Raw genomic sequence first — 25,842 nt, 5'->3', positions numbered from 1 at the left:
GGGCGCTGCAGGAGGAACTCAGGCGCCGCGCGCGCAGCTCACACCCAAACTGGAAGGAACCTGTTCTGCCCGGGGCGGGCGCGAAGCCGCCGCAGCCGCGAGCGCCGCGCGGGATCAGCCCCGGCGCGCGCGTGTTCCCCCTCGCCGCTAAATCCCTAAATCCTCAGGGCGCGGGCGGGACTGGGCGGTGGGCGCGCCGGGAAGGCGCCCGGGGGTGGGGACGGGGACCCGCGCGCTCGCGCCTGGCCGAGGTGCTCCGAGACAGGATGCAGGCACCCCCAACACCCTGCACGCTCGCGCTCCTACTAGCGTTGCAGCAAAGCTCCGGGGTCTGGGCGGGTCACGCGCGCAGAGGCGCACCCGGGTTGGGAGATCGGGGCGTTGTGCCAAGGACCCCGGCGGCGCTGGCGGGGGCGGCCCGGCCCCGGACCGCGACGCGGTTACCTTTCGTGACCCCCAGCCCAGGCGGCAGGCTGGCGGGCGCGCGACCGGCGCGGCTCAGGTCCACGTGGGACGGCGCGCGCGCGCCAGGCAGGCCCCCTCCTTGGCTGCGCTCAGCGCTCGCAGCACATGGTCGGCGGCGGCGCGCCCCCGAGGCCGGCGGAGACCGGCTGCAGCCGGTATAGGATAAGAGCTAGGCAGCGACGCGGGGCCGGGGCGCGGGCGGCAGCACGCACGGCCCGGGTCGCAGGCGGCCGGGGTGGGGGGCGGGGGGAGGGTGTGGCTCGGGTGCCCGAGTCGCGGGAGTGGGTGGAGGGCCCGGGCGCTCGGGCCTCACCAGCCCGAGCCAACTTGCGCTAGAGTCGGGCCCGCCCCCTAAGGGGTTAATCCTTTTCTCATGTTACCGAGCGGCTTATAAGGAGGGGGAGGCCAAGCCTCCGCCTTATTGGGAGCCTTTGGGGGTTTATTCTCTTCCCTTCTAACTTGGTGAGTTGGTTTATTATTTTACATGTTTAAAAGTTTGATTGTGGGATGTGGGTTGTTTTTTAAAAAATATGTGTTGGGGCCTTTTTTTGTGATGGGAGGCGGAGGAGACCACTGAACATCTTCACATTTTGGAGAGGTTATTCCCAAAAATATTCGCTCTGACAGTTAGGAATGCCCAGGGCCACCGGGATGACGCGCTCGCGCCGGTGTGGGTAGCTGAGAGTTGAATGTCCGTGACCCTGGTACAGTTGGGTCCCGGAAGATACCTAAAGGCACGCCTGGCCTTTGAGTGCCCCCTGCCCCGGGTTGGGGGCTCCGGGACGTCGGAAGAGTCGGGGGCTCCAGGCTCAGCCCCTCCGCGGATTTTCCGCATGAAGTTGCCTGCGCGTCGCAGGAGCGAAATGTCAGAGGTACCTTCCTACCCCAGGCTGGCGCGCGCACGCAGGCCGGGCACTGAGGCAGCGCGAGGGAAAGTGGGGCTCCCTGCCTCCCCCGACCCCCAAACACAGCACTCCCTGCGGCGGCCACCGTTTGTCCCCAGCGGGAAGCCGGGGATTTCCCGGCAGAGCGCGGGTCCTCCACCTGGACTGTCAGAACTGTCAGCGGCTGACGGCCGGTCCCGCGCAACTTCAAGGTTCCCGGGCTGCCAACCGCAGGAAAGCGCTGGTGTCGCCAAGCAGTTCCGTAGCAAGGGAAGATGGTTTTGCAGAGGAAATGGGTTATTTCCTTCTAGGTTGTTGTCGTCTTTTCTTTTTATTCCCCCCACCCTAGCAAGACAGGTCATAGAAGTTTGTTAGGTGGCGTATATAAAATGTCACCAAACATGGGGGGCGTCAGTCTTAGAAAAAGCTCCCCGGAGCCAACTGGGGAAGAGCAATTACAACTTGTCAACCTGGAAGCCGGTTTTGTTTGCACGGTTAGACACTCCGTGCCAGCTCCTTCTCGCAGGAGATGGTTTCTACCCCGGGAATGAGATTTCTCAGTGATCTGATTGTTTTTGCAAATCATGGTAAGATAGGTGTCTTGCTTGTAAAAAAGATGCCAAGTGCTTATGCTGAAATCTCTAAACCATGCATCTCCCCATGTCCCAAGCACCGTTATGTGGCATTTTTGGGGTCAACAATACATCCGGCCAGATGATATAATAGAAACCCCTCTTCTCATAATTAAGGGAAGAGTGTCCAAAATAGGAACTTACAGTGTGTAAATAAACAATGCAGCCAAGTGGAAAAGCTCCTTCCAGTGTAATGAGTACCACTAACCCTGAGTTTTCCTTCTGTGGTTTCCGAAAAAGGACTTTCCTCAGTGGAACTCCTGAGGAGGACACTTAAATTAGGGGCTCAGGTTTCAACACCATAGTCTTGTAAAATGGTGACTCGGTTGTAGCCAGTGATTCAACATCGTGAGGCAGCTATCCAGGTTAGGTTTGGAAATTTTTTTTAAATAGAGAATGCAGATGAACTTTAGCCAAATACAGACTGGTTTTGACAACTTGGGCCAGAAACAACTTGTCAAAGCTGTTCTCCGGGCTACGCCTTTAAGAAGAAGAGAAATCCGCAGTGCTTTTGCTCGAGGTCTGCCTACAACAGTAGCCACCCCATTTCCATCCAGAGCCTGCGTTTTGAAACTTGCTCTTAGCTGACCCTGGAATAACACTCTGATGGTCTACAATAATACAATTTTTTTCATGCCCTCGGGCCAAATCTTCTCTCGACAAATTAAATCACAGTGAAACTCCCAAGGATAGCGGATTTCCAAGCCTTTGGCAAGATACCTACTTATTTATTTGTTTAGAGGCAGGGTCTCACTCCCATCATGGGAGTGCAGTAGCGTCATCTCTGCTCATTGCAGCCTCGACCTCCCGGGCTCAAGCGATCCTCCCACCTCATTTTTTAATTTTTTTGTAGAGACACAGCCTCACTATGTTGCCCGGGTTGGTCTCAAACTCCTGGGCTCAAGTAATCTGCCTGCTTCGGCCTCCCTAATTGCTGGGATTATAGGCATGAGCTACCGCACCCGGCCAATACTCATTTATTTAAGGGGACACTTAACCACATGCTACTAGGAAATCCTCCAAACTGCCCGTGGATTGTGTCATTGTACTTCCTCCAGAAGAACACTAGGGTGAAGGGAAGATGGCTGCCGGGAACCCCCATTCAGAATTGTCGAGTTTTGTAAGTTGGAAAAGGCTTGAGAGACTCCCCTGACAACCCATGCTTTACAGATGATAGAAGTTCTAGAAGTTCAGGATTCTGTGGTTTCCATAACTGTGCAGCCAGTTAATGGTACACAGAAATTAACAAATATGGCCTAAGAGCTTTAAGAAGACCAACTCTTCGGCCTTGCCTTCAAAGGGCTTAGAAGGATTAAAGCAAGTGACGGTCAAAGGCTGTCATAGAAGTATAGACTATTAGGGCAGGAAGAGATCTAAGCTCATCAGAGTCTAGTTCAACTCCCTTTTTTACATTTACCTTGATTTTACATTGACATTGAAAATGGGGAAGTGAAGTGATTTGCCTAAATTCCATCATCCGTAAAGCAGGGGTTGATGGGCAGGATGACTCAGCTCGCCTCACCAGTTAGATCCCTACACAGCTGAAAAATATCCCTACCCGTCAGATAAATTCACATGGCCACAGACCAAAGTGGACAGATAAACTTTTATATTCTGGAACTTACAGAGGCTTCTGCATAAATGAGTTCAAAATTCAGGCCTCAGTTGCTTTGTTTGCAGAGACAGAAGGTTTGGCCTTCTGCTGAAGGAATGGAAAAAAAGAAAAGGAGAAGGCCGGGCACAGTGGCTCACGCCTGTAATCCCAGCACTTTGGGAGGCTGAGGCGGGCGGATCACAAGGTCAGGAGTTTGAGACCAGTCTGACCAACATGGTGAAACCCTGTCTCTACTAAAAATACAAAAAAAAAATCAGCCGGGCGTGGTGGCATGCGCCTTTAATCCCAACTACTCAGGAGGCTGAGGCAGGAGAGTCGCTTGAACCCGGGAGGCAGAGCTTGCAGTGGGCTGAGATCGCACCACTGTGCTCCAGCCTGGGAGACAGACTGAGACTCCATCCCCAACCCCCAAAAAAAAAAAAAAAAGAAAGGAGGGAGGGAGGGGGAGAGAGAGAGAGAGAGAAAGAGAGAGAGAAGAGAAGAAGAGAAGAGAAAAGAAAAAAGGGAGAAGAGTCCAGGAAGGGTTTTATTCTGCAACCAAGCACTTTCTCCCCTTATGACTCGGTTTTTTAAGGAAAGACCTGTGCATGACTTTACTTAAATACAGGCATTATCACCCAGGAAGGTTCAGAAACCAGGTTATCCTGTTATTACTTTATATTGTGGTCTTATCTTCAAAGCTAAATTTAATAGGACATAGGATGCTTTAGGATGATAAAGGCATAAACCTTGGGGGTAGGACGGGGTTCAGGGTGTCATCTTTCCTTGATGGAGATCTCAGTTATAAAAAGAAAAGAAAGCTTCTGTCCAAAAACCCAAGAATGCAGGTGAAAGTTATATGTGGCTCTAGCTAGAGTAGAATAGCTCAGACATAAAGCAGAGTTTTTTAAAAAAACTAAGGAATTAACTTCCCAGCAGTGGCTCAGAAAGGAAATAGAAATGAATAGTCCACCATCTGGCTAGGTGAGGTGGCTCACACGTTTAATACTATCACTTTGGGAGGCCGAGGTGGGAGGATCGCTTGAGTCCGGGAGTTCCAGACCAGCCTAGGCAACATAGGGAGACCCTGTCTCTATTAAAAAAAAAAAGAAGAAGAAGAAGGCTGGGCATGCTGGCTCACGCGTGTAATCCCAGCACTATCGTTTAGATACTATCTAACGTTTAATACTATCACTTTGGGAGGCCAAAGCAGGCAGATCACCTGAGGTTAGGAGTTCAAGACCAGCCTGACCAACATGGTGAAACTCCATCTCTACTAAAACAAAATTAGCCGGGCATGGTGGCGCATGCCTGTAATCCCAGCTTCTTGGGAGGCTAAGGCAGGAGAATCACTTGAACCCGGGAGGTGGAGGTTGCAGTGAGCTGAGATTGTGCCATGGCACTCCAGCCTAGGCAACAAGAGCGAAACTCCATCTCCAAAAACAAAAACAAAAAGTCCACCATCTTCTAAACAGCTGTCATAGAATAGATCTAAGCAATGACCAGCTAGCTACTTTACACCCATGTTTGCAAGAACCATCTAGCATTTACACTTTCTCCGAGCTCAGTTTCCTTGGGCCACCAGGCTTCGCTTAAGCCATCAGTTGATTAATAGAATTCAGTACTAAATTCAAAAGTATCAGCTGTTTCTCACACCTGTAATCCCACACTTTGGGAGGCCAAGGCGGGCAGATCACTTGAGGTCAGGAGTTCGAGACCAGCCTAGCTAACATACTGAAACCTCATCTCTACTAAAAATACAAAAATCAACCGGGCATGATGGTGGGTGCCTGTAATCCCAGCTACTCGGGAGGCTGAGGCAGAAGAATCGCTTGAACCCGGGAGGCTAAGGTTGCAGTGAGCCAAGATCGTGCCACTGCACTTCAGCCTAGGTGACATAGCAAGACTCCATCTCAAAAAAATTAAATACAATAAAATGCTCTCCTGTAGGCTTGTACAGCAGGAGCCCTGGAAGGCAGGAGATTCAGTATTGGGCTATTTCAGTCAAGTCCCTTCACCTCTTGGGGATCAGTTTCCCGATTTTACAAAATGAGTAAGATTTTACAAAAAGGAATTGAAAAAGATAACCTCAATTTTCCCCTTCAGCTTTAACATTCAATAATTCTAACTCTATTCAGGGGTTACAGATTCATCCTAGCCCCATCCCTTTTGCAAGTGTAAACATCTGATGATACAGGCAAGGGAAGAGAGGAAAGGGGCAGCTGGCACCAGAACTTCAGTGCTGGCCAGACAGAGCCTTCTCATGATGGCAGGTAATCTCAGCTCATACAAAAACTGCAATCTGGTCCCACTCATCTAAATGCAACCCACAGCCCGGTCCACATGGTGAGACCCTGTCTCTACAAAAAATAAAAATTATGCCAGGCGCGGTGGCTCACATCTGTAATCCCAGCACTTTGGGAGGCCGAGGTGGGTGGATCACGAGGTCAGGAGTTCCAGACCGGCCTGGCCAACATGGTGAAACCCTGTCTCTACTAAAAATACAACAAATTAGCTGGGCATGGTGGCGGGCGTCTGTAATCCCAGCTACTTGGGAGGCTGACGCAAAGAATTGCTTGAACCTGGGGGATGGAGGTGGCAGTGAGCCGAAATCATGCCACTGCATTCCAGCCTGGACTCCATCTCAAAACATAAATTAAAAAAAAAAAAAATTGGCTGGGCATGGTAGCACATACCTATAGTCCTAGCCACTTGAGAGGCTGAGTAGGGTCACTTGAGCCCAGGAGTTTTTTTGTTTTTGTTTTTTGAGACGGAGTCTCGTTCTTGTCACGCAGGCTGGAGCGCAGCGGCACAATCTCAGCTCACTGCAACCTCTGCCTCCTGGGTTCAAGCAGTTCTCCCACCGCAGCCTCCCGAGTAGCTGGAAGCACAGGTGCGCACCACCACACCAGGCTAATTTTTGTAATTTTAGTAGAGACGGGGTTTCACCATGTTGGCCAGGCTGATCTCGAAACCTGACCTAAGGCAATCCACCCACCTCGGCCTCCCAAAGTGCTGGGATTACAGGTGTGAGCCACCGTGCCCTGCACGAGCCCAGGAGTTTTGAGGCTGCAGTGAGCTATGATCGTGCCACTGCACTCCACGTCTCTCTAGGGTCTTTATCAAATTTTATCACTATATGTTTTGTTTCAAGGTGGTCCTGAGCCCTCCATTAAAACTCTTAAGACCTTCTGGGCACATTTCTGGGTTAGAACAACTGTGCCAATTTGACCTTGGTCTTAGTAGCTACTGAGTCCTGACTGCTTGTCAGAAATGTGCTGAACTCTGGCAAGATGTGGTTGAATCATTTACATAGGATGCATTTCAGATGCATTCATTTTCCTTAGCATCATCATCAGCAAATATTTTAGTCCATGGAGGCAGAGACCATCTCTTGGTCTTTTCACTGTAGTGCCCCTATAGTGAAAGCGAGGACCTGGCACCTGATAGGTATTTTGTTGCAAAAATAAATACAAGCTGTGTACAAGGTACAGGCAGGGTCCGGGGACATGGGGTTGTACAAAGAGAAATAGACCTCAGATTTTGTGAGCATATAATTTATGACATATCAACACACATCAAAATGCAAAGGCCTTTGCTGCAAAGAGCATACTCATCTTACAGCATCTTATGCCTTATTTTAATCAACCAAATATTTAGCCGTAATAGTGTATAAAGTGAATATATAGTCCTTCCCAAGTACTAGGCTACAGTGGGAATGGCGCTATCAGTAGGATGAATGATACTAAGTTAGATCAGATTTGCTGCTTTTTAAGATTTGTAGAGTAAATTCAGAACATTAGATTTTAAAAATAGAAAACCAGCAAGTCTGTTGGATAGATGAGGTTGTGTCCTGTTATTTTTCAGTTGCCTTCTACTTTCAATAAAACCTTTGCCTTAGTAACTTTGACCCAACAACTTATGGCTAGGAAAAGGATATAAAGGATATAATGCACCCTGACCCTGAAAATTCACCTGTATACAATTGTATAATTGTAAAGAATTTTCTTTTTACATTTTATTTATTATTTTATTTATTTATTTTAGACAGAGTCTTGCTCTGTCACCCAGACTGGAGTGCAGTGGCACGATCTTGGCTCATTGCAACCTCTGCCTCCCGGGTTCAAGTGAACCTCAGCCTCCTGAGCAGCTGGGACTACAGGCACGTGCCACCACACCTGGCTAGTTTTTGCATTTTTAGCAGACACCGGGTTTCACCATGTTGGCTAGGCTGGTCTCAAACTCCTGACCTCAAGTGATCCACCTACCTTGGCCTCCCAAAGGATTACAGGCATGAGCCACTGCGCCCAGCTTTTTTTTTTTTTTTTTTTTTTGAGACAGAGTCTCACTCTATTGCTCTATTGCTCACTCTAGGCTGGAGTGCAGTGGTGTGACCTCGGCTCACTGCAACCTCCGACTCCTAGGTTCAAGTGATTCTCGTGCCTCAGCCTCCTGGGTAGCTGGGATAACAGGCTCGTGCTACTACTAATTTTTGTATTTTTAGTAGAGACAGTGTTTTGCTATGTTGGCCAGGCTGGTCTTTTTTTTTTTTTTTTTTTGAGACGGAGTTTTGCTCTTTTTGCCCAGGCTGGAGTGCAATAGCACGATCTCGGCTCACCACAACCTCTGCCTTCCAGGTTCAAGTGATTCTCCTGCCTCAGCCTCCCGTGTAGCTGGGATTACAGGCGTGCGCCACCACACCCGGCTAATTTTGTATTTTTTTTTAGTAGAGACAGGGTTTCAAGACTATACTTTCAGGGATCATTTCTGTAGTTTGTTAGTAGAGACAGCGTTTCTCCATGTTGGTCAGGCTGGTTTCAAACTCCCAACCTCAGGTGATCCACCCGCCTCAGCTTCCCAAAGTGTGCTGGGATTACAGGCGTGAGCCGCCGTGCCCAGCCTTTTTTTTTTTTTTCTGATACGGAGTCTCACTCTGTCGCCCAGGCTGGAGTGCAGTGGCGCGATCTCGGCTCAATGCAAGCTCCGCCTCCCGGGTTCACGCCATTCTCCTGCCTCAGCCTCCGGAGTAGCTGGGACTACAGGCGCCCGCCACCACGCCTGGCTAATTTTTTTGTATTTTTAGTAGAGACGGGGTTTCATCGTGTTTGCCAGAATGGTCTTGATCTCCTGACCTCGTGATTCGCCTGCCTCGGCCTCCCAAAGTGTTAGGATTACAGGCGTGAGCCACTGCGCCCGGCCCAGTCTGGTCTTGAATTCCTGACCTCAAGTGACCCATCCACCTCGACCTCCTAAAGTGATAGGATTATGGGTGTGAGCCACCACGCCAGCCAACTTAAAAAAAAATTTTTTTTAGACAGGGTCTTGCTCTGTCATTCAGGCAAGAGTGCAGTAGTGTGATCACTTCTTACTGCCGCCTCAAGCTTCCAGCCTCAACTCAAGCAATCCTCCCACCTCAGCCACCCAAGTGGCTGGGACTACAGGTATGTGTCACCACACCCCGCTAATTTTCTTTCTTTTTTTTTTTTTTTTGAGACAGAGTCTTGCACTGTCACCCGGGCTGGAGTGCAGTGGCACAATCTCAGCTCACTGCAACCTCCACCTCCGGGGTTCAAGCAATTCTCCTGCCTCAGCCTCCCAAGTAGCTGGGGTTACAGGCACCCACCAGCACACCTGGCCTTTTTTTTTTTTTTTTTTTTTAGTAGAGATGGGGTTTCACTATGTTGGCCAGACTGCTCTCAAACTCCTGACCTCATGATCCACCCATCTCGGCCTCCCAAAGTTCTGGGATTACAGGCATGAGCCACCATGCCCGGCACTGCTAATTTCTTCTTATACTTTTTTGTAGAGACAGCGTCTCCCTATATTACCCAGGCTGTTCTCAAACTGCAGGGCTCAAGCAATCCTCCAGCCTCAGTTTCCCAAAGTGCTGGGATTACAGGCGTGAGCCACTGCGCCTGGTCCTATGTGTAGTTTTTTTTTTTTTTAAGTTCTAGGGTACATGTGCACAACGTGCAGATTTGTTACATATGTATAGATGTGCCATGTTGGTGTGCTGCACCCATTAACTCGTCATTTAACATTAGGTATATCTCCTAATGCTATCCCTCCCCCTTCCCCCAACCCCACGACAGGCCCCGGTGTGTGATGTTCCCCTTCCTGTGTCCAAGTGTTCTCATTGTTCAATTCCCACCTATGAGTGAGAACGTGTGGTGTTTGTTTTTTTTGTCCTTGCGATAGTTTGCTGAGAATGATGGTTTCCAGCTTCATCCATGTCCCTACCAAGGACATGAACTCATCCTTTTTTATGGCTGCATAGTATTCCATGGTATATATGTGCCACATTTTCTTAATCCAGTCTATCATTGATGGACATTTGGATTGGTTCCAAGTCTTTGCTGTTGTGAATAGTGCCGCAATAAACATACGTGTGCATGTGTCTTTATAGCAGCATGATTTATAATCCTTTGGGTATATACCCAGTAATGGGATGGCTGGGTCAAATGGTATTTCCAGTTCTAGATCCTTGAGGAATTGCCACACTGTCTTCCACCATGGTTGAACTAGTTTACAGTCCCACCAGCAGTGTAAAAGTGTTCCTATATTTGTAGTTTTTTGAGGAAGCTCCATACTGTTCTCCTTATTGGCCGTACTAGTTTACATTCCCACCGACAGTGTATAAGAGTTCTTTTCTCCGCATCCTTGCCAGCATTTGTTATTTTTTTGTCTTCTGATCATAGCCATCCCAAATGAGGTAAGATGATACCTCACTGTGGTTTTGATTTGGATTTCCGTAATGATTTGTGATGTTGAGCATTTTTTCATATATTTGTTGGCCATATGTATGTCTTTTGAGAAATGTCTGCTCAGATTATTCACCCATTTTATTTATTTATTTATTTATTTGAGACAGAGTCTCGCTGTGTCACCAGGCTGGAGTACAGTGGCACGATCTCGGCTCACTGCAACCTCCACCTCCCAGGTTCAAGTGAGTCTCCTGCCTCAGCCTCGCGAGTAGCTGGGACTACAGGTGTAGAGGTGCATGCCACCACGCCCAGCTAATTTTTGTATTTTTAGTAGAGACGGGATTTCACTATGTTGGCCAGGATGGTCTCGATCTCTTGACCTCATGATCCACCTGCCTCAGGCTCCCAAAGTGCTGGGATTACAGGCGTGAGCCACCGCCACCAGCCTGTTCACCCATTTTTAAGCCAGATTGTTGGGGAGTTTTTTTGCTGTTAAGATGTTTGAGTTCCTTGTATATTCTGGCTATTAATCCCCTGTCAGATGAATAGTTTGCAAATATTGTCTACCCTTCTGTGGGTTGTCTTTTCATTCTTTTTTTTTTTTTTTGGAGGCAGAGTCTCCTTCTGTCACCCAGGCTAGAGTGAAGTGGCATGATCTCAGCTCACTGCAACCTCCACCTCCTGGATTCAAGCAATCCTCGTCCCTCAGCCTCCCAAGCAGCTGGGACTACAGGTGTGTGCCACCAGGCCCAGTTAATTTTTCGTATTTTCAGTAAGGATGGCATCTCACCATGTTGCCCAGGCTGGTCTCAAACGCCTTAGCTCAGGTAATCCACCCACCTTGGCATCCCGAAGTGCTGGGATTATAGCGTGACACACTACATCTGGCCTCACTCTGTTGATATGTTTCCTTTGCTGCGCAGAATCTGTTTAGCTTAATATAATCCCATGTTTATTTCTGCTTTTGTTGTGTGTGCTCTTCCAGTCTTATCCATAAAAATCTTTCCTCAGACAAATGTCCTAAAGTGTTTCCCCTATGTTTTCTTCTAGTAGTTTTATAGTTTTAGGTCTTACATTTAAGTCTTTGATCCATTTTTAGTTGATTGTTGTATAGGGTGAAAGGTGGGGATTTAGTTTCATTGTTTGTATTGATATCCAGTTTTCAAAGTGCCATTTATTGAAGAGACTGAACTTTCTCCAATGAATGTCTTTGGCACCTTTGCCAAAAATCAGTTGGGTGTAGACATGTGGATTAATTTCAGGGTTCTCTCTTCTGTTCCATTGGTCAGTGTGTCTGTTTTTATGCCAGTACCATGCTGTTTTGATTACTGTTGTGTTGTCATATATTTTGAGGTCTGTTAGTGTGATGCCTCCAGCTTTGTTCTTTTTTTCAGGATGGCTTTGGCTATTCATGATCTTTTGTGGTTCCATACAAATTTTAGGATTTTTTTCTTCTATTTCTGTGAAGAATGTCATTGGTATTTTGATAGGAATCCACTCTGTAGATTGCTTTGGGTCATATATAAATAATTCTTTTTTTTTTTTTTTTTTTTTGAGACAGAGTTGCTCTATTGCCCAGGCTGGAGTGCAGTGGTGCAGTCTCAGCTCACTGCAACCTCCTCCTCCCAGGTTCAAGCAATTCTCCTGCCTCAGCTTCCTGAGTAGCTGGGATTACAGGTGCCTGCCACCATGCCCAGCTAATTTTTGTAGTTTTAGTAGAGACGGGGTTTTGCCATGTTGGCCAGGCTGGTCTCGAACTCCTGACCTCAGGTGATCCACCCGCTTTGGCCTCCCAAAGTGCTGGGATTACAGGTGTGAGCCACCGCGCCCAGCCATAAAGAATTCTTAAACTTGAAGTTGGTTGCCATTAAGAGCTTGAAGACCATGGACTCATTGATTATTATAGATATCATTAATTTTTAGTTAGGCTAAAAATACACATGACTGTTTCAAAGTATATGTAATTACAGAGGCTTTGAAAAAGACAGTATTCATGTGCTAGAGCCCAATCCAGAAGACTTAAGTTAAACCAATGTCAATGTCAATGTCTCCTTAGAAGTGTTAAGACAGGTTGGCTTGTTCTGATGTTTATTGCAGTTTGAATGGAGAGGCACAGTGAGGTTAGGGGTAACTCAGTTAACTGGTGTCCAGATGGGGCCCTACAGGCTTGTATAATAGTACCTTATTTAGACACCATATTCTAGAGTATCATCATGTACTTGGAAATTCAATTGCTAATATACTAAGTGGTGGTCAACTTTGAGGAAATTACTCCTGCTTAACAAACTCCCAGAAGACAGAATGCCCTCATTTTGATTTATAGTGACATTGTGTCTGTGTAGGTACATCCACATGGAACACCAAATCATAATCAGAATATTGCTTACTGAGTAGAAAATGGCGGGGAAGAAGAGTTGACTAGGTGATCGCGGTGGCCAGGGACATCAAGCAGAGACGCTTATGGTATCTCAAACACTTACTCGGTGGAAGGTGCTGGATGCACCGCCAATGTTTGCTTTTCAGCCTCCGTTTTCTAGGCTTCATTTCTGATCAACATTCCTTATGGTCAATTCAGTCTTTTTTTGCCTAAGTTGAGTCCTTCAAGGTCAGCATTAATACTTGGTCTGGTGGCCATTTGGTGTCCTTCAATATGCTTCTAAATATTCTGCTCTGGTTCTTCATGTCTGTTTTTCCCATTTAACTTTCTTTTTGGGAGGCCCCATGTACAATACCAAGATTTGTATATACATATATATGCATAAAAGTATCCAAATACTTTATACTGCTTGTACATGATTTAAATATTCAACAATCAGCTGGGTGTGGTGGCTCATGCCTATAATCCCAGCATTTTGGGAGGTCAAGGCGGGTGGATCCCTTGAGGTCAGGAGTTTGAGCCCAGCCTGGCCAACATGGCAAAACCCCATCTCTACTAAAAATACAAAAATTAGCCGGGTGTGATGGTGGGCATCTGTAATCCCAGCTACTCGGGAGGCTGAGGCAGGAGAATCACTTGAACCCGGGAGGCCGAGATTTCAGTGAGCCAAGATCACACAACTACACTGCAGCCTGGGCAACAGAGTGAGACTCTGTCTCAAAAAAAAAAAAAAAAAAAAGGAAAAAGAAAAAACATTAGCTGGCTGTGGTGGCACATGCCTGTAGTCCCAGCTACTTGGGAGGCTGACGTAGGAGAATTGCAGAGGTTGCAGTGAGCTGAGATCATGCCACTGCACTCTAGCCTGGATGACAGAGCAAGACTCCATCTCAATAAATAAATAAATAAATAAATATTCAACAACTTAAGAAATGGGGTAAGTAGTTCTTATCTGTTGTTTGCTTAAGAGTATGAGAATCATCGATCCTCATGCTATTGCTGATCTGAATTGCTTTTAACTTTTTCTTTCAGATTAAGAATGACCCAAAATAAATTAAAGCTTTGTTCCAAAGCCAATGTGTATACTGAAGTGCCTGATGGAGGATGGGGCTGGGCGGTAGCTGTTTCATTTTTCTTCGTTGAAGTCTTCACCTACGGCATCATCAAGACATTTGGTGTCTTCTTTAATGACTTAATGGACAGTTTTAATGAATCCAATAGCAGGATCTCATGGATAATCTCAATCTGTGTGTTTGTCTTAACATTTTCAGGTTAGTACATCTTTCGGCCTAACCATGACGTAAGTATAGGGCCCTTTTAATTTGGCTACCTTGGTAATGGTAGTCGATGTGTTTGTGATGCTTTCATTCCCTTATACGCCTGTTGGTCCTTCCTAGCCCTGACTAACAGGGTTTTCAGAGCATTGAGGATTGGCAAGAAACAAAAGGCACTGAAGAAAAAAAGCCTTATTTGCCAGCCATGACAGCCTTCAGTTTAACACACATGTATTAAACATCTGCTGTCTGCACACTCTTAGGATTCTGTAGATTCCCTTAAGGAGTGCAGTCAACCTCCTTTTGTGAGGATGTGAGGATATAGTCACTGTCTAAGAAGCAACATCAAAAAGTTGCTGATGGCCGGGCACAGTGGCTCACACCTGTAAGCACTTTGAGAGGTCAAGGTGGGTGGATCAGTTGAGGTCAGGAGTTCAAGACCAGGCTGGCCAACATGGCGAAACCCCATCTCTACTGAAAATAGAAAAATTAGCCAGGCACAGTGTTTTGCACTTGTAATCCTCAGTACTTGGGAGGCTGAGGCACGAGAATTGCTTGAACCCAGGAGGCGGAGGTTGCAGTGAGCTGAGATCACACCACTGCACTCCAGCCTGGGCAACAGAGCGAGACACCATCTCAAAAAAGAAAAAAGTTGCGGCCGGGCGCGGTGGCTCACGCCTGTAATCCCAGCACTTTGGAAAGCCGAGGCAGGTGGATCACGAGGTCAGGAATTCGAGACCAGCCTGACCAACATAGTGAAACCCCCTCTCTACTAAAAATACAAAAAATTAACTGGGCATGGTGGTATGTGCCTGTAATCCCAGCACTCAGGAGGCTGAGGTAGGAGAATCGTGTGAACCTGGGAGGTGGAGGTTGCAGTAAGCCCAGATCATGCCATTGCACTCCAGCCTGGGCGACAGTGTGAGACTCCATCTCAAAATAATAATAATAATAATTGCTGACATACCAGGCCCCAATCTCATAATTCCAAGTGGAAACATGTAAATGTGGATGCATGAAGCAAAATGAGATGTGTACAAGGAGATAAGGTGAAATTACAAATATTGTTCTGAGGAGACCTTCTGAATTCCAAGCACCTGTTTCCCTAAAGGACTTCACTGATTCATCATTACATAATATACTCCCAGACCCAATCGCATAAAATAAAATGGGGCTTCAGTATCATTTTTAACATACTAATCTTCACTTGGTCCTATAAAGGGCTATTGAATATACATGCCAGGTCTCATGAGTTCATTGGTCTGTCAGAAATAATTGCCAAGGGTTTTCTAAGAGAAAAGGGCTGTTGAACTCACCTCAGAAAGTTAACCAAGCTGGGCATGGTGGCTCACGCCTGTAATCCCAGCACTCTGGGAGGCCAAGATGAAAGGATTGCTTGAGCCCTAGAGTTTGAGACTAGCCTGGGCAACATAGCAAGACTCCATCTCTACAAAAAATTAAAATAAAAAATTGGCCGGGCATGGTGGTACACACCTGTGATCCCAGCTACTCAGGAGGCTGCAGAGCGAGAATTGCTTGAGCCTGGGAGGTCAAGGCTGCAGTGAGCCATGATCATGCCATTGCATTCCAGCCTGGGCAACAGAGCAAGACCCCATCTCAAAAAATAAAAAAAATAAAGAAAGTTAACCAGGCTGACCTTAAACTTCCCTAAGTTTACACTTACACACTGTCATGGAACTGTTATCTCTGAAGTTATTGCTGAAATTAAAGCCCTTCTTTAAATGTAGTCCATTTTTAGCCATAGAATGTCTTTACAAGGCAGTTCTACATGTTTTTACCCTTTGGGTAAGGTAGAAATTTCTCGTTAGCCGGGTGTGGTGGTGGGCACCTGTAATCCCAGCTACTCGGAAGGCTGAGGCAGGAGAATCACTTGATCCTGGGAGGCAGAGGTTGCAGTGAGCTGAGATTGTGCCACTGCACTCCAGCCTGGGAGACAGAGCAAGACTCTGTCTCAAAAAATAAAAAAAGAGAGAGAGAGAAATTTATCTTGTTAGTTCTCATACTATCCCTTACAAGTTTCATGAAGTCATTCCTGGTTCTATTTTAAGTGAGTATCAAGATAACTTAATTTTTTTTTTTTTTGAGACGGAGTCTCGCTTTGTTGCCTAGGCTGGAGTGCAGTGGTGCGGTCTCAGCTCACTGCAACCTCCGCCTCCCAGGTTCAAGTGATTCTCCTGCCTTAGCCTCCCGAGTAGCTGGGATTACAGGCACCTGCCACCACGCCTGGCTAATTTTTTGTATTTTTATAGTAGAGACGGGGTTTTGCTATGTTGGCCAGGCTAGTCTCTAACTCCTGAACTCGTGATCCACCTGCTTCGGCCTCCCAAAGTGCTGGATTTACAGGTGTAAGCCACCGCACCCAGCCAAGATAACTTCATTTTTAAATTGTGGAATGCTTAATTACCTTCTTAGAAAGATAACAAATGAATTAGGACTAAAATGTTACATTTGGTAATCTAAATAAAAAGAAAATCCCAAAGCTTAAGTTTTAGGTCTTTTATAACTAAAAATAAAAATGTAGTCAACAAGAAATTTCCACTTAATACTATTATACCAGAAGATAATTCTTCCAAATGCTATTATTCTAGTTGTTAATGCTTTGAGCCAACATCCTGGCTCAAAATGATGAGAGTGGTTTTATTATGAGCTACATCCAAGATTACTTTGTATTCTAATAGTTAACATAGTAGATACATATAGACTAACCCAAAAAAATGGAATCCTTTTTTTCCCACTTCCTTTTCTAGCATGTTGTTGTTCCTTGACCCAACTCTCAATGGCTCACTTACGTCACTGTTGTCAAGTTAATATTAAGTAACCTATAACTAGGAAACTAATTTGCCAGATTTAAATGTCCTAGGGGATACAGCTTATAGAAGCTAAGCAAATGATGATTCACTTTCAATTATCTATCCCATAGCAACTCTCCTTCAGGAGTGCATAACTTAGAATTCACATTCTTTCATCCTGTCAAGAAACTAACTAGGCTGGGCGCGGTGGCTCACGCCTGTAATCCCAACACTTTGGGAGGCCGAGGTGGGCGGATCACCTGAGGTCAGTAGTTCGAGACCAGCCTGACCAACATGGAGAAACCCCATCTCTACTAAAAATACACAATCAGCCGGGCATGGTGGCACATGCCTGTAATCCCAGCTACTTGGGAGGCTGAGGCAGGAGAATCAGTTGAACCCAGGAGGTGGAGGTTGCAGTGAGCCGAGATCACACCACTGCACTCCAGCCTAGAAAACAAGAGCAAAACTCCATCTCAAAAAAAAAAAAAGAAAGAAACTAACTAGAATCTGACCCCAAATGGAGCTTTTTAAAAAGAATCCAAAGTAGTGAGTAGAGAAAAAATAATTCAAGCAATCATAGGAAAACCAATTTTTATTATAGAATAACATAAATTCAATACATATCTAATTTTATAGGTGCTCATGGTGAGTCAGAGTCATCTAAAAATATAGATAAAAGTTTTATACTGTTATTCTGGCTTTCTCTTTCAGGAGTCTGACAAATCGTGTTGAATTTGAACAAATAGTAAAATAATTCCTGCACTGACTTTGCATGAAATGTGTTATGGTTTGGTTTTGTTTTTTCTTGAGACAGGGTCTCACTCTGTCACCCAGTATGGAGTGCAGTGGTGCAATCTTGGCTCACTGCATCGTCTGCCTCCCAGGCTCAAACAATCCTCCCATCTCTGCCTGCCAAGTAGCTGGGACTACAGGTGCACACCACCATGCCTGGCTAATTTTTGTATTTTTTGTAGAGACGGGGTTTCACCATGTTGCCCGGGCTAGTCTTGAACTCCTGGGCTCAAGCGATCCTCCGTCCTCAACCTCCCAAAGTGCTGGGATTACAGGCATGAGCCACTGCGCTCGGCCATATTTATATTCGACATCATCTCTCCATGTGCAAGACGTGGAGGAAGGAGTCTTATGGCAGCTAACCCTGAAGCCTCTGTGAGTTAAAATATCGTTTTGTTCTTTCCCGGCAGCTCCCCTCGCCACAGTCCTGAGCAATCGTTTCGGACACCGTCTGGTAGTGATGTTGGGGGGGCTACTTGTCAGCACCGGGATGGTGGCCGCCTCCTTCTCACAAGAGGTTTCTCATATGTACGTCGCCATCGGCATCATCTCTGGTAAGTGTTCCTCTTTGGCTCAGAAGTTGTCTAGACACTTAGTTTGAAGAACAAGGAAGGGGAAGGAGGAAATTAAAGCCAAACTATATTTCTTTCTCTTTCTTTTTTTCTTTAACATTAACAGTGTCTCAGATCAGTAGTTTTGAACTGAGCTATATGGACTTCAGGGGACCTGGGAATCTGTTCTCAAGTGCCCAAGGGTTTTTGTTTGATCTTCACCAAAGATGATGATAATTTCTCTTTTGCTGTATTTGCAGCCAAAAGATAGCATTTTTACAAAGTAAGACGAATTTCTGTAGCCAGTATTTCTCACATCAGTGTCTGAGGATCCAGGGCTGTAGGGGAAGTGCAACATGCCAGACTTATTCTTGGGGGCCTAAGAAAACCTTTTTCCATTCAAAAGGAGTAGCCAGCATGGTGGCTCATGCCTGTAATCCCAGCACTTCGGGAGGCTGAGACAGGAGGATCACGTGAGCCCAGCAGTTTGAGACCAACTGGGGCAACATAGGGAGACTCCATCTCTACAAAAAATAAAAACTAGCCAAGCGTGGTGGTGCGTGCCTGTGGTCCCAGCTGTAACCATCCTATCACTTTGGAGGCTGAGGTGGGAGGATCACTTGAGCCTGGGAGGTCAAGGCTCCAGTGAGCTGTGATCACACCACTGCACTCCAGCCTGGGCAACAGAGTGAGACCCTGTCTGTTTAAAAAAAAAAAAATGAAATGAACAATAAAAGGAGGCCATATATTCCTCATAGATGATAGATACACACACAGTTGTTAAGATTTGCAGACTTTAAATTTTTCCTGTATTTCTGCACATATGAAATGACTTATTTCTTTCTAGATACAAATCTTATATAAAATTTCATGCAATAATAGTTTCATCCATTGTGAATTATATAAATTTGAAAAAAAGTGTTGCAAAGATAAAAAAAAAAAAAGTTATATTTTTAGTATCCCAAACAACCACTGAAGTTTATCCAGACCGTTAATGAAACCCATTTTTCTTTGCAACATCACCTTTGTCCAGAATGAATTACTTGGCTCCTAGAACTTAAGATTCAAAAAGCAAAACCAAAAATCCCAGATCTTTTAATGCATCCTTCCAGTCTCAAGCAGTATGTGGGTCTCATTGGCTTTTTTGACTTTTCTTTCACAGGTCTGGGATACTGCTTTAGTTTTCTCCCAACTGTAACCATCCTATCACAATATTTTGGCAAAAGACGTTCCATAGTCACTGCAGTTGCTTCCACAGGAGAATGTTTCGCTGTGTTTGCTTTCGCACCAGGTAGGTGGACTACAACAGCCTAAGTATGAATGTGGATGAGAGACGTCACTCAGGTATTCTTGCTACGCTAACTTTTGCCAACAGTATGGATGACTTTCAGTGTATGTGTAATGAGACGTTATTTACGTCTCTTCTCCAGCTCATTTTTAGGATCTGTCCTCCCTAACCCCCACTTTAGGTATTCAGACCACCTTAATAATAGGTTTCAATTCCTAACTGGGCACATATGCAGTGGTAGGGCTTTCTTGACACATGCATTCCAGAATAATCTAGTAATTTGCAATTATTCACCTGTTATGTCCTCTCGTTTTTCAAAAGAGCTACATTCAATGTGGATTTAGATTATGCTAATAAACACAGCATTCTTATCTGTGTGTAGATCATCTCAAAACAAAATCTGTAACTGAGCACGGTGGCTTACACCTGTAATCCCAGCACTTTGGGAGGCTGAGGTGGGCGGATCACCTGAGGTCAGGTGATCGAGACCAGCCTGGCCAACATGGCAAAAACCTGTCTCTACTTAAAACACACAAAAAAAGGCCAGGTGCAGTGGCTCATGCCTGTAATCCCAGTACTTTGAGAGGCCGAGGCAGGCAGATCAGGAGGTCAGGAGATCGAGACCATCCTGGCCAACACAGTGAAACCCTGTCTCTACTAAAAATACAAAAATTGGCTGGTCGTGGTGGCGCACGCCTATAGTCCCAGCTACTCAGGAGGCTGAGGCAGGAGAATCGCTTGAACCCGGGAGGTGGAGGTTGCGGTGAGCTGAGATCAGGCCACTGCACTCCAGCCTGGTGACAGAGTGAGACTCTGTCTCAAAAAGTAAATAAATAAAGATTGAGTACATTCATACTGCTGAGTATAATAAATTTCCACAGAACTTATAACAAAATCTGGATCCATATTTCTTCTTGATGGCTTCTCCTGGGTCTTGAGTCCATTATTGACCTTATATTATTTCTTCTTCACTCCTGCCTATTCAAGCAATCATGGCTCTGAAGGAGCGCATTGGCTGGAGATACAGCCTCCTCTTCGTGGGCCTACTACAGTTAAACATTGTCATCTTCGGAGCACTGCTCAGACCCATCTTTATCAGAGGACCAGCGTCACCGAAAATAGTCATCCAGGAAAATCGGAAAGAAGCGCAGTATATGCTTGAAAATGAGAAAACACGAACCTCAATAGACTCCATTGACTCAGGAGTAGAACTAACTACCTCACCTAAAAATGTGCCTACTCACACTAACCTGGAACTGGAGCCGAAGGCCGACATGCAGCAGGTCCTGGTGAAGACCAGCCCCAGGCCAAGCGAAAAGAAAGCCCCGCTATTAGACTTCTCCATTTTGAAAGAGAAAAGTTTTATTTGTTATGCATTATTTGGTCTCTTTGCAACACTGGGATTCTTTGCACCTTCCTTGTACATCATTCCTCTGGGCATTAGTCTGGGCATTGACCAGGACCGCGCTGCTTTTTTATTATCTACGATGGCCATTGCAGAAGTTTTCGGAAGGATCGGAGCTGGTTTTGTCCTCAACAGGGAGCCCATTCGTAAGATTTACATTGAGCTCATCTGCGTCATCTTATTGACTGTGTCTCTGTTTGCCTTTACTTTTGCTACTGAATTCTGGGGTCTAATGTCATGCAGCATATTTTTTGGGTTTATGGTTGGAACAATAGGAGGGACTCACATTCCACTGCTTGCTGAGGATGATGTCGTGGGCATTGAGAAGATGTCTTCTGCAGCTGGGGTCTACATCTTCATTCAGAGCATAGCAGGACTGGCTGGACCGCCCCTTGCAGGTAATTTAAATACACAAAATACAAACACTTGTCTACTTTCCCTTGTGAATTGTGCTAGCTTCCTGTTCAAGCCATAAAAAAAACTTACTGCCGTTTTATATTTCCATTGAATTTTAGAGCTGCCAGGGATTAGAGATTACCTGAGCCAGCCCTCTTGATTTAAATATGAGGAAACTGAAGGCCAAAGAATTGAAGCTAAAGGTCAGATGGTAAATTAGTGGTCGATTCAGGACTGGAAGCTGTGTCTGTAGTCCAGATTGACCCTGGCCTTTTTTTTTTTTTTTTGAGATGGAGTCTCGCTCTATCACCCAGGCTGGAGTGCAGTGGCGCAGTCTCAGCTCACTGCAACCTCCACCTCCCAGATTCAAGTGATTCTCCTGCCTCAGCCTCCTGAGTAGCTGGGACTACAGGCACCCACCACCACGCCTGGCTAATTTTTGTATTTTTAGTAGAGATGGGGTTTCACCATGTTGGCCAGGATGGTCTCAATCTCTTGACCTCGTGATCCGCCTGCCTTGGCCTCCCAAAGTACTAGGATTACAGGTGTGAGCCACCGCACCCGCCAACCCAGGCTTTTTCTGTCACCTTGCCTTCTCTCATGCTAGGCAAGAACTCATGGATTTATCACCTTCAGAGCCCACCTGACTTTTGGAATGATAGAACTAATGGACTTCTGTAAGTCATCTTCCTTTCTTAGGAAAGGTATTTGGGAATGGATAGCAGCACTCTGTAAATACCTAACTGATTTGTACAGAATATTTCCTTGTAGGAGGGACATAGGTATGTTTCATATCTTAGATCCCAAATGGGTCTTTAAAGTGTTTGTGATTAGAAATCGTACCCCCTGTCAAAAGATACCTAAAACGGGCCGGGCGCAGTGGCTCATGCCTCTAATCCCAACACTTTGGGAGGATGAGGCGGGCGGATCATTTGAGGTCAGGAGTTCCAGACCAGCCTGGCCAACATGGCAAAACCCCATCTCTACTAAAAATACAAAAGTAGCTGGGCATGGTGGCAGACACCTCTAATCCCAGCTATTCGGGAGGCTGAGGCAGGAGAATCGCTTGAACCTGGGAGGCAGAGGTTGCAGTGACCTGAGATTGCACCATCGCACTCCACCTGGGGCAACAAGAATAAAACTCTGTCTAAAAAAAAAAAAAAAAAACCTAAAGTGAACTCAAGTGAAAATAATACAGTTCCTTCCTACCGAAGAATATTACCTTTTCAAAGAAGTATGCATCGAAATGTCCCAGGTTTTAGGTCCTCTGCTAGGACAGGCTTAGCCCAAGAAGAACAAGTATATTGGGTGTTTGTCTCTTTCTCCTCTCCAGTCTAGTAAAGATTTCTGCCCTTAACACCCATTTTTCTTTAGAAACACAAAAGAAAACAAGGAAGGCAGTGAAACTGAGAGGCTTCTGAATGGGATGGTCGCCTGGGTGAGGGGCTTATGTCTAGGAAGGATGCTGTTAACGGACGCCATGCTCTCTTCCAGGTTTGTTGGTGGACCAAAGTAAGATCTACAGCAGGGCCTTCTACTCCTGCGCAGCTGGCATGGCCCTGGCTGCTGTGTGCCTCGCCCTGGTGAGACCGTGTAAGATGGGACTGTGCCAGCATCATCACTCAGGTGAAACAAAGGTAGTGAGCCATCGTGGGAAGACTTTACAGGACATACCTGAAGACTTTCTGGAAATGGATCTTGCAAAAAATGAGCACAGAGTTCACGTGCAAATGGAGCCGGTATGACACACTTTCTTACAACAACAGCCACTGTGTTGGCTGGAGAGGGATGGGGTGGGCCCAACGGGGACACAAGGAGGCAGAGGAGCTAACCCCTCTACTCCACTTTCAAAACTACATTTTAAAGGGAATGTGTATGTGAAGAGCACTACCAACATCGCTTTTGTTTTGTTTTGTTTTGTTTTAAGCTTTTTTTTTTTGCTTGTTTTTAAAGCCAAAACAAAAAACAACCAAGCACTCTTCCATATATAAATCTGGCTGTATTCAGTAGCAATACAAGAGATATGTAGAAAGACTCTTTGGTTCACATTCCGATATTAAAATAGTGACATGAACTGGCAAAGTGGTTTTAAAAGCTTTCACGTGGGATAAATGATTTTCTTTTTTTCTTTTCTTTCTTCCTATGGTCTTGTCTGAATAAACTACTCTCCTGAATAAAACAACATCCAACCCAGGTCATTGAAATGAAATTGGCCAGTCAAAAAAAAAAAGACTTCAATCATTTTTAAAATTCCTAATTTTCAGAAATATGAATAAATAGTTTTTGTTAAACCCTTTGTAAAATACCAAGGTTCCCGTTAACAAATTACGGCCTCTGCTTGCTGGAAATGAAATATAGTTTAAGACCAAACATTTTACTAATAAACAAATTTTAAGTATATATATATATATATAACTTGAACTTCATAAATGTGAAGATTACCACTTCTTTTTATGGCCAGTCCTTATCAGAAGTGTTTCAGTACAGAATATACAAAATGGCATTTAAAAATGTGTTTCCTGTTGCTTTTAGTTATACAGAAATATGTGACTGTAGTGTCTTTAATTTAAACCGCTATTTATTATTAAGTTATTCTAGGATGATTAAAGTAATCAAAAGAAATAAAATCTGAGACATAAGCAGCATTTTTACCTCCTTTCTGCAATCCTTTAAATGCCTCACAGAATACGTCTTATCTTGTAAAAATACTTTCATAAAAGGCCAAGTTGTCATGATTCTTCCATTTGATTAGGGGCAACGTGTGCTATTAAAGGGGAAAAAATAATGGATTGCAAATCGCCTTAGCTTTCAAAACTAATTTGTTTTATCATTTAAGAATACTTGAGGAACTTCTTTGATCAGAATTATATTTCAGAGAATTGTTAAAGCATTTCTGATTTAAAGAAAAAACCATCTAATTATTGAAGCATTTCTGTATTTCACATGGGGGTAACAGAGACAATTATGTTATAGCGAGTTACAAGTTGCAATTTACATCTTCTATAACACATGACTTGATTGGTCTAAGTTGCCAGAGGTATCGGGTAACTGGTCATTGTTTTGTTTTGTTTGTTTTATTCTTCCTTTTTTTTTGGAGTCACACTACATGTATAGTATTGCTCACGTTAGCAGTTTTCTGTAAGGAGGGCAAGTGTCAGGATAATAGGTGGACTTTTTACTCACCTATTTTACCACAATCTCACCCTGCAGGTGATGGTCAATGCTTGCTGCTCCATCTTTATTCATCGTTAATGTTAATTTATGACAACTCAGGGGGAAAAACATAACAAGCCTAGTTTGGTTACAGGTACACACAAGCTTGAATATTTCTCTGCACTGAAATGAAAGTGGCATAGTTCATCACCACCTGCTACATTTTGTAGAGCATCTTATCAGCCATAGAAATAGGACAATCTATAAAACTTTGGGGAGGGTGGGGGAGGAAATGACAAAGTGTCTGTCAAAAACAGGCATAATCTAAAACAAGGTGGATGTAGCAAATCTCTGTCACTGCTTGAGAACTTTGAGCTTGTGGCAGTTTTGCAGACTTACATGACTTCAGCACTTTACGACATATTTTTTACTATGAATGTTCAATACAATTTAATATTTATAACTGATTTCTGAGGGATCTGCTCCATGTCTATTCTGTTATCTGCATGAAAACAAAATGTATGCCAATTTCAGTATGTCAATAATCAAGGTTTTAAATGTTTGGAAGAAAATACAAACAAGATTGCTGATCTGTTCTGTATTAGTGACATTCTGGTACTTCTAGATTTGCAATAAATTTATGGATTTTTTATTTAAAGAGACCGATTCTCTTCTAAGATTTTTTATTGACTCTCACAGCATTCAGTGTTTGAGGCAATTAAAGTTATAAAAACTCACCAAAGATTCACTCCAAATAAATAATTTTTTAACGTTTATCTTCTGCAAAACCTTTTAACTCTACTAGAGACACATAAAGTTTCCCAAGAAGTTTCTACTGAACTTTTTATTTACTTATATTTATTATTATTATTTTTTGAGATGGAGTTTCGCTCTTGTTGCCCAGGCTGGAGTGCAATGGCACAATCTCAGCTCACTGCAACCTCCGCCTCCCAGGTTCAAGTGATTCTCCTGTCTCACCCTCCCATGTAGCTAGGATTACAGGTGCCCGCCACCATGCCTGGCTAATTTTGTGTATTTTTACTAGAGATTGGGTTTCACCATGTTGGCCAGGTTGGCTTCAAACTCCTGACCTCAGGTGATCCACCTGCTTCGGCCTCTCAAAGTGCTGGGATTACAGGTGTGAGCCATCATGTGCAGCCTAAACTTTTTTATGTCTTTTTTTTTTTGTATACTTTTTATACAAAAAAAAAGTATATATATACATATATATACTTTTTATACAAAAAAAAGTATATATATACATATATATACTTTTTATACAAAAAAGTATATATATACATATATATACATATATATACTTTGATCATTGAAAACAGGACGATTTTATTTTATGTTGAGTTTCATACGAACTATTTTAAAGCACCTTAGAAAAAGACTAAATAATTCAAGGGAAGTATTAAGTAATGAATAACAGAAGAGGGAAATAAAAATTAAACAATATAATCAAATGAAGAAGCATATTTTCATCTAAGAATTGAAATAAGAATGAAAGCATC

General features: G+C 44.6%; 2 protein-coding genes across 38 annotated transcripts in view, besides 2 other annotated features; one reads left to right on the top strand and one right to left on the bottom strand.

Moving 5' to 3' along the window:
- The window catches only part of ARSG (arylsulfatase G), a 192,850-nt gene that overhangs the window by 160,007 nt on the left and 7,001 nt on the right, over nucleotides 1–25,842 (bottom strand). For 19 of the 32 annotated variants that reach the window (XR_007065287.1, NM_001352910.2, XM_047435643.1 and 16 more), the window contains exon 1: nucleotides 445–518. The exons of 11 other annotated variants lie outside the window; for them this stretch is intronic. The gene's annotated coding sequence lies outside the window, so the exon portion shown is untranslated. Of the gene's footprint in view, nucleotides 1–360; nucleotides 519–25,842 lie in introns of those variants that run through there. 2 more of the 32 variants (XM_011524537.2, NM_001352900.2) reach the window with 1 other exon arrangement.
- Nucleotides 61–750: a silencer, noted in NCBI's record as "silent region_8899". NCBI's record gives its function as "represses an Ori minimal core promoter by ATAC-STARR-seq in GM12878 lymphoblastoid cells {active_cell/tissue: GM12878}" and the evidence as "EXISTENCE:reporter gene assay evidence [ECO:0000049][PMID:35858748]".
- Nucleotides 520–694: a silencer, noted in NCBI's record as "fragment chr17:66287460-66287634 (GRCh37/hg19 assembly coordinates)". NCBI's record gives its function as "represses an EF-1alpha promoter that drives an FKBP-Casp9 reporter gene in an ReSE screen in K562 erythroleukemia cells {active_cell/tissue: K562}" and the evidence as "EXISTENCE:reporter gene assay evidence [ECO:0000049][PMID:32094911]".
- SLC16A6 (solute carrier family 16 member 6) lies at nucleotides 534–24,987 on the top strand. 6 transcript variants are annotated; one of them, NM_001174166.2, is made up of 7 exons: nucleotides 886–927; nucleotides 8,890–9,016; nucleotides 13,686–13,924; nucleotides 17,943–18,086; nucleotides 19,246–19,374; nucleotides 20,359–21,174; nucleotides 22,667–24,987. In NM_001174166.2, exons 3-7 carry the CDS (start codon nucleotides 13,693–13,695, stop codon nucleotides 22,915–22,917), a joined length of 1,572 nt encoding a protein of 523 aa, NP_001167637.1. In that variant the 5' UTR covers nucleotides 886–927; nucleotides 8,890–9,016; nucleotides 13,686–13,692; the 3' UTR covers nucleotides 22,918–24,987. The 6 variants fall into 6 exon arrangements, with proteins under 6 accessions (XP_024306789.2, NP_001167637.1, NP_004685.2 ...); XM_024451021.2 differs by lacking the exons at nucleotides 886–927; nucleotides 8,890–9,016 and adding an exon at nucleotides 534–620; NM_004694.5 differs by lacking the exon at nucleotides 8,890–9,016.

The sequence above is a fragment of the Homo sapiens genome, chromosome 17, assembly GCF_000001405.40.
Source record: "Homo sapiens chromosome 17, GRCh38.p14 Primary Assembly".
Lineage (NCBI taxonomy): Eukaryota > Metazoa > Chordata > Mammalia > Primates > Hominidae > Homo > Homo sapiens.
This window is presented reverse-complemented; position numbering and strand designations above follow the sequence as displayed.

Bases quoted from the DNA above. Each gene is read 5' to 3' on its own strand.
- SLC16A6 (XM_024451021.2), top strand. From the start codon at position 571: ATGGTCGGCGGCGGCGCGCCCCCGAGGCCGGCGGAGACCGGCTGCAGC. The intron at 13,925-17,942 runs GTTAGTACATCT...CTTTCCCGGCAG, and splicing joins GTTTGTCTTAACATTTTCAG to CTCCCCTCGCCACAGTCCTG. The intron at 21,175-22,666 runs GTAATTTAAATA...GCTCTCTTCCAG, and splicing joins GGCTGGACCGCCCCTTGCAG to GTTTGTTGGTGGACCAAAGT.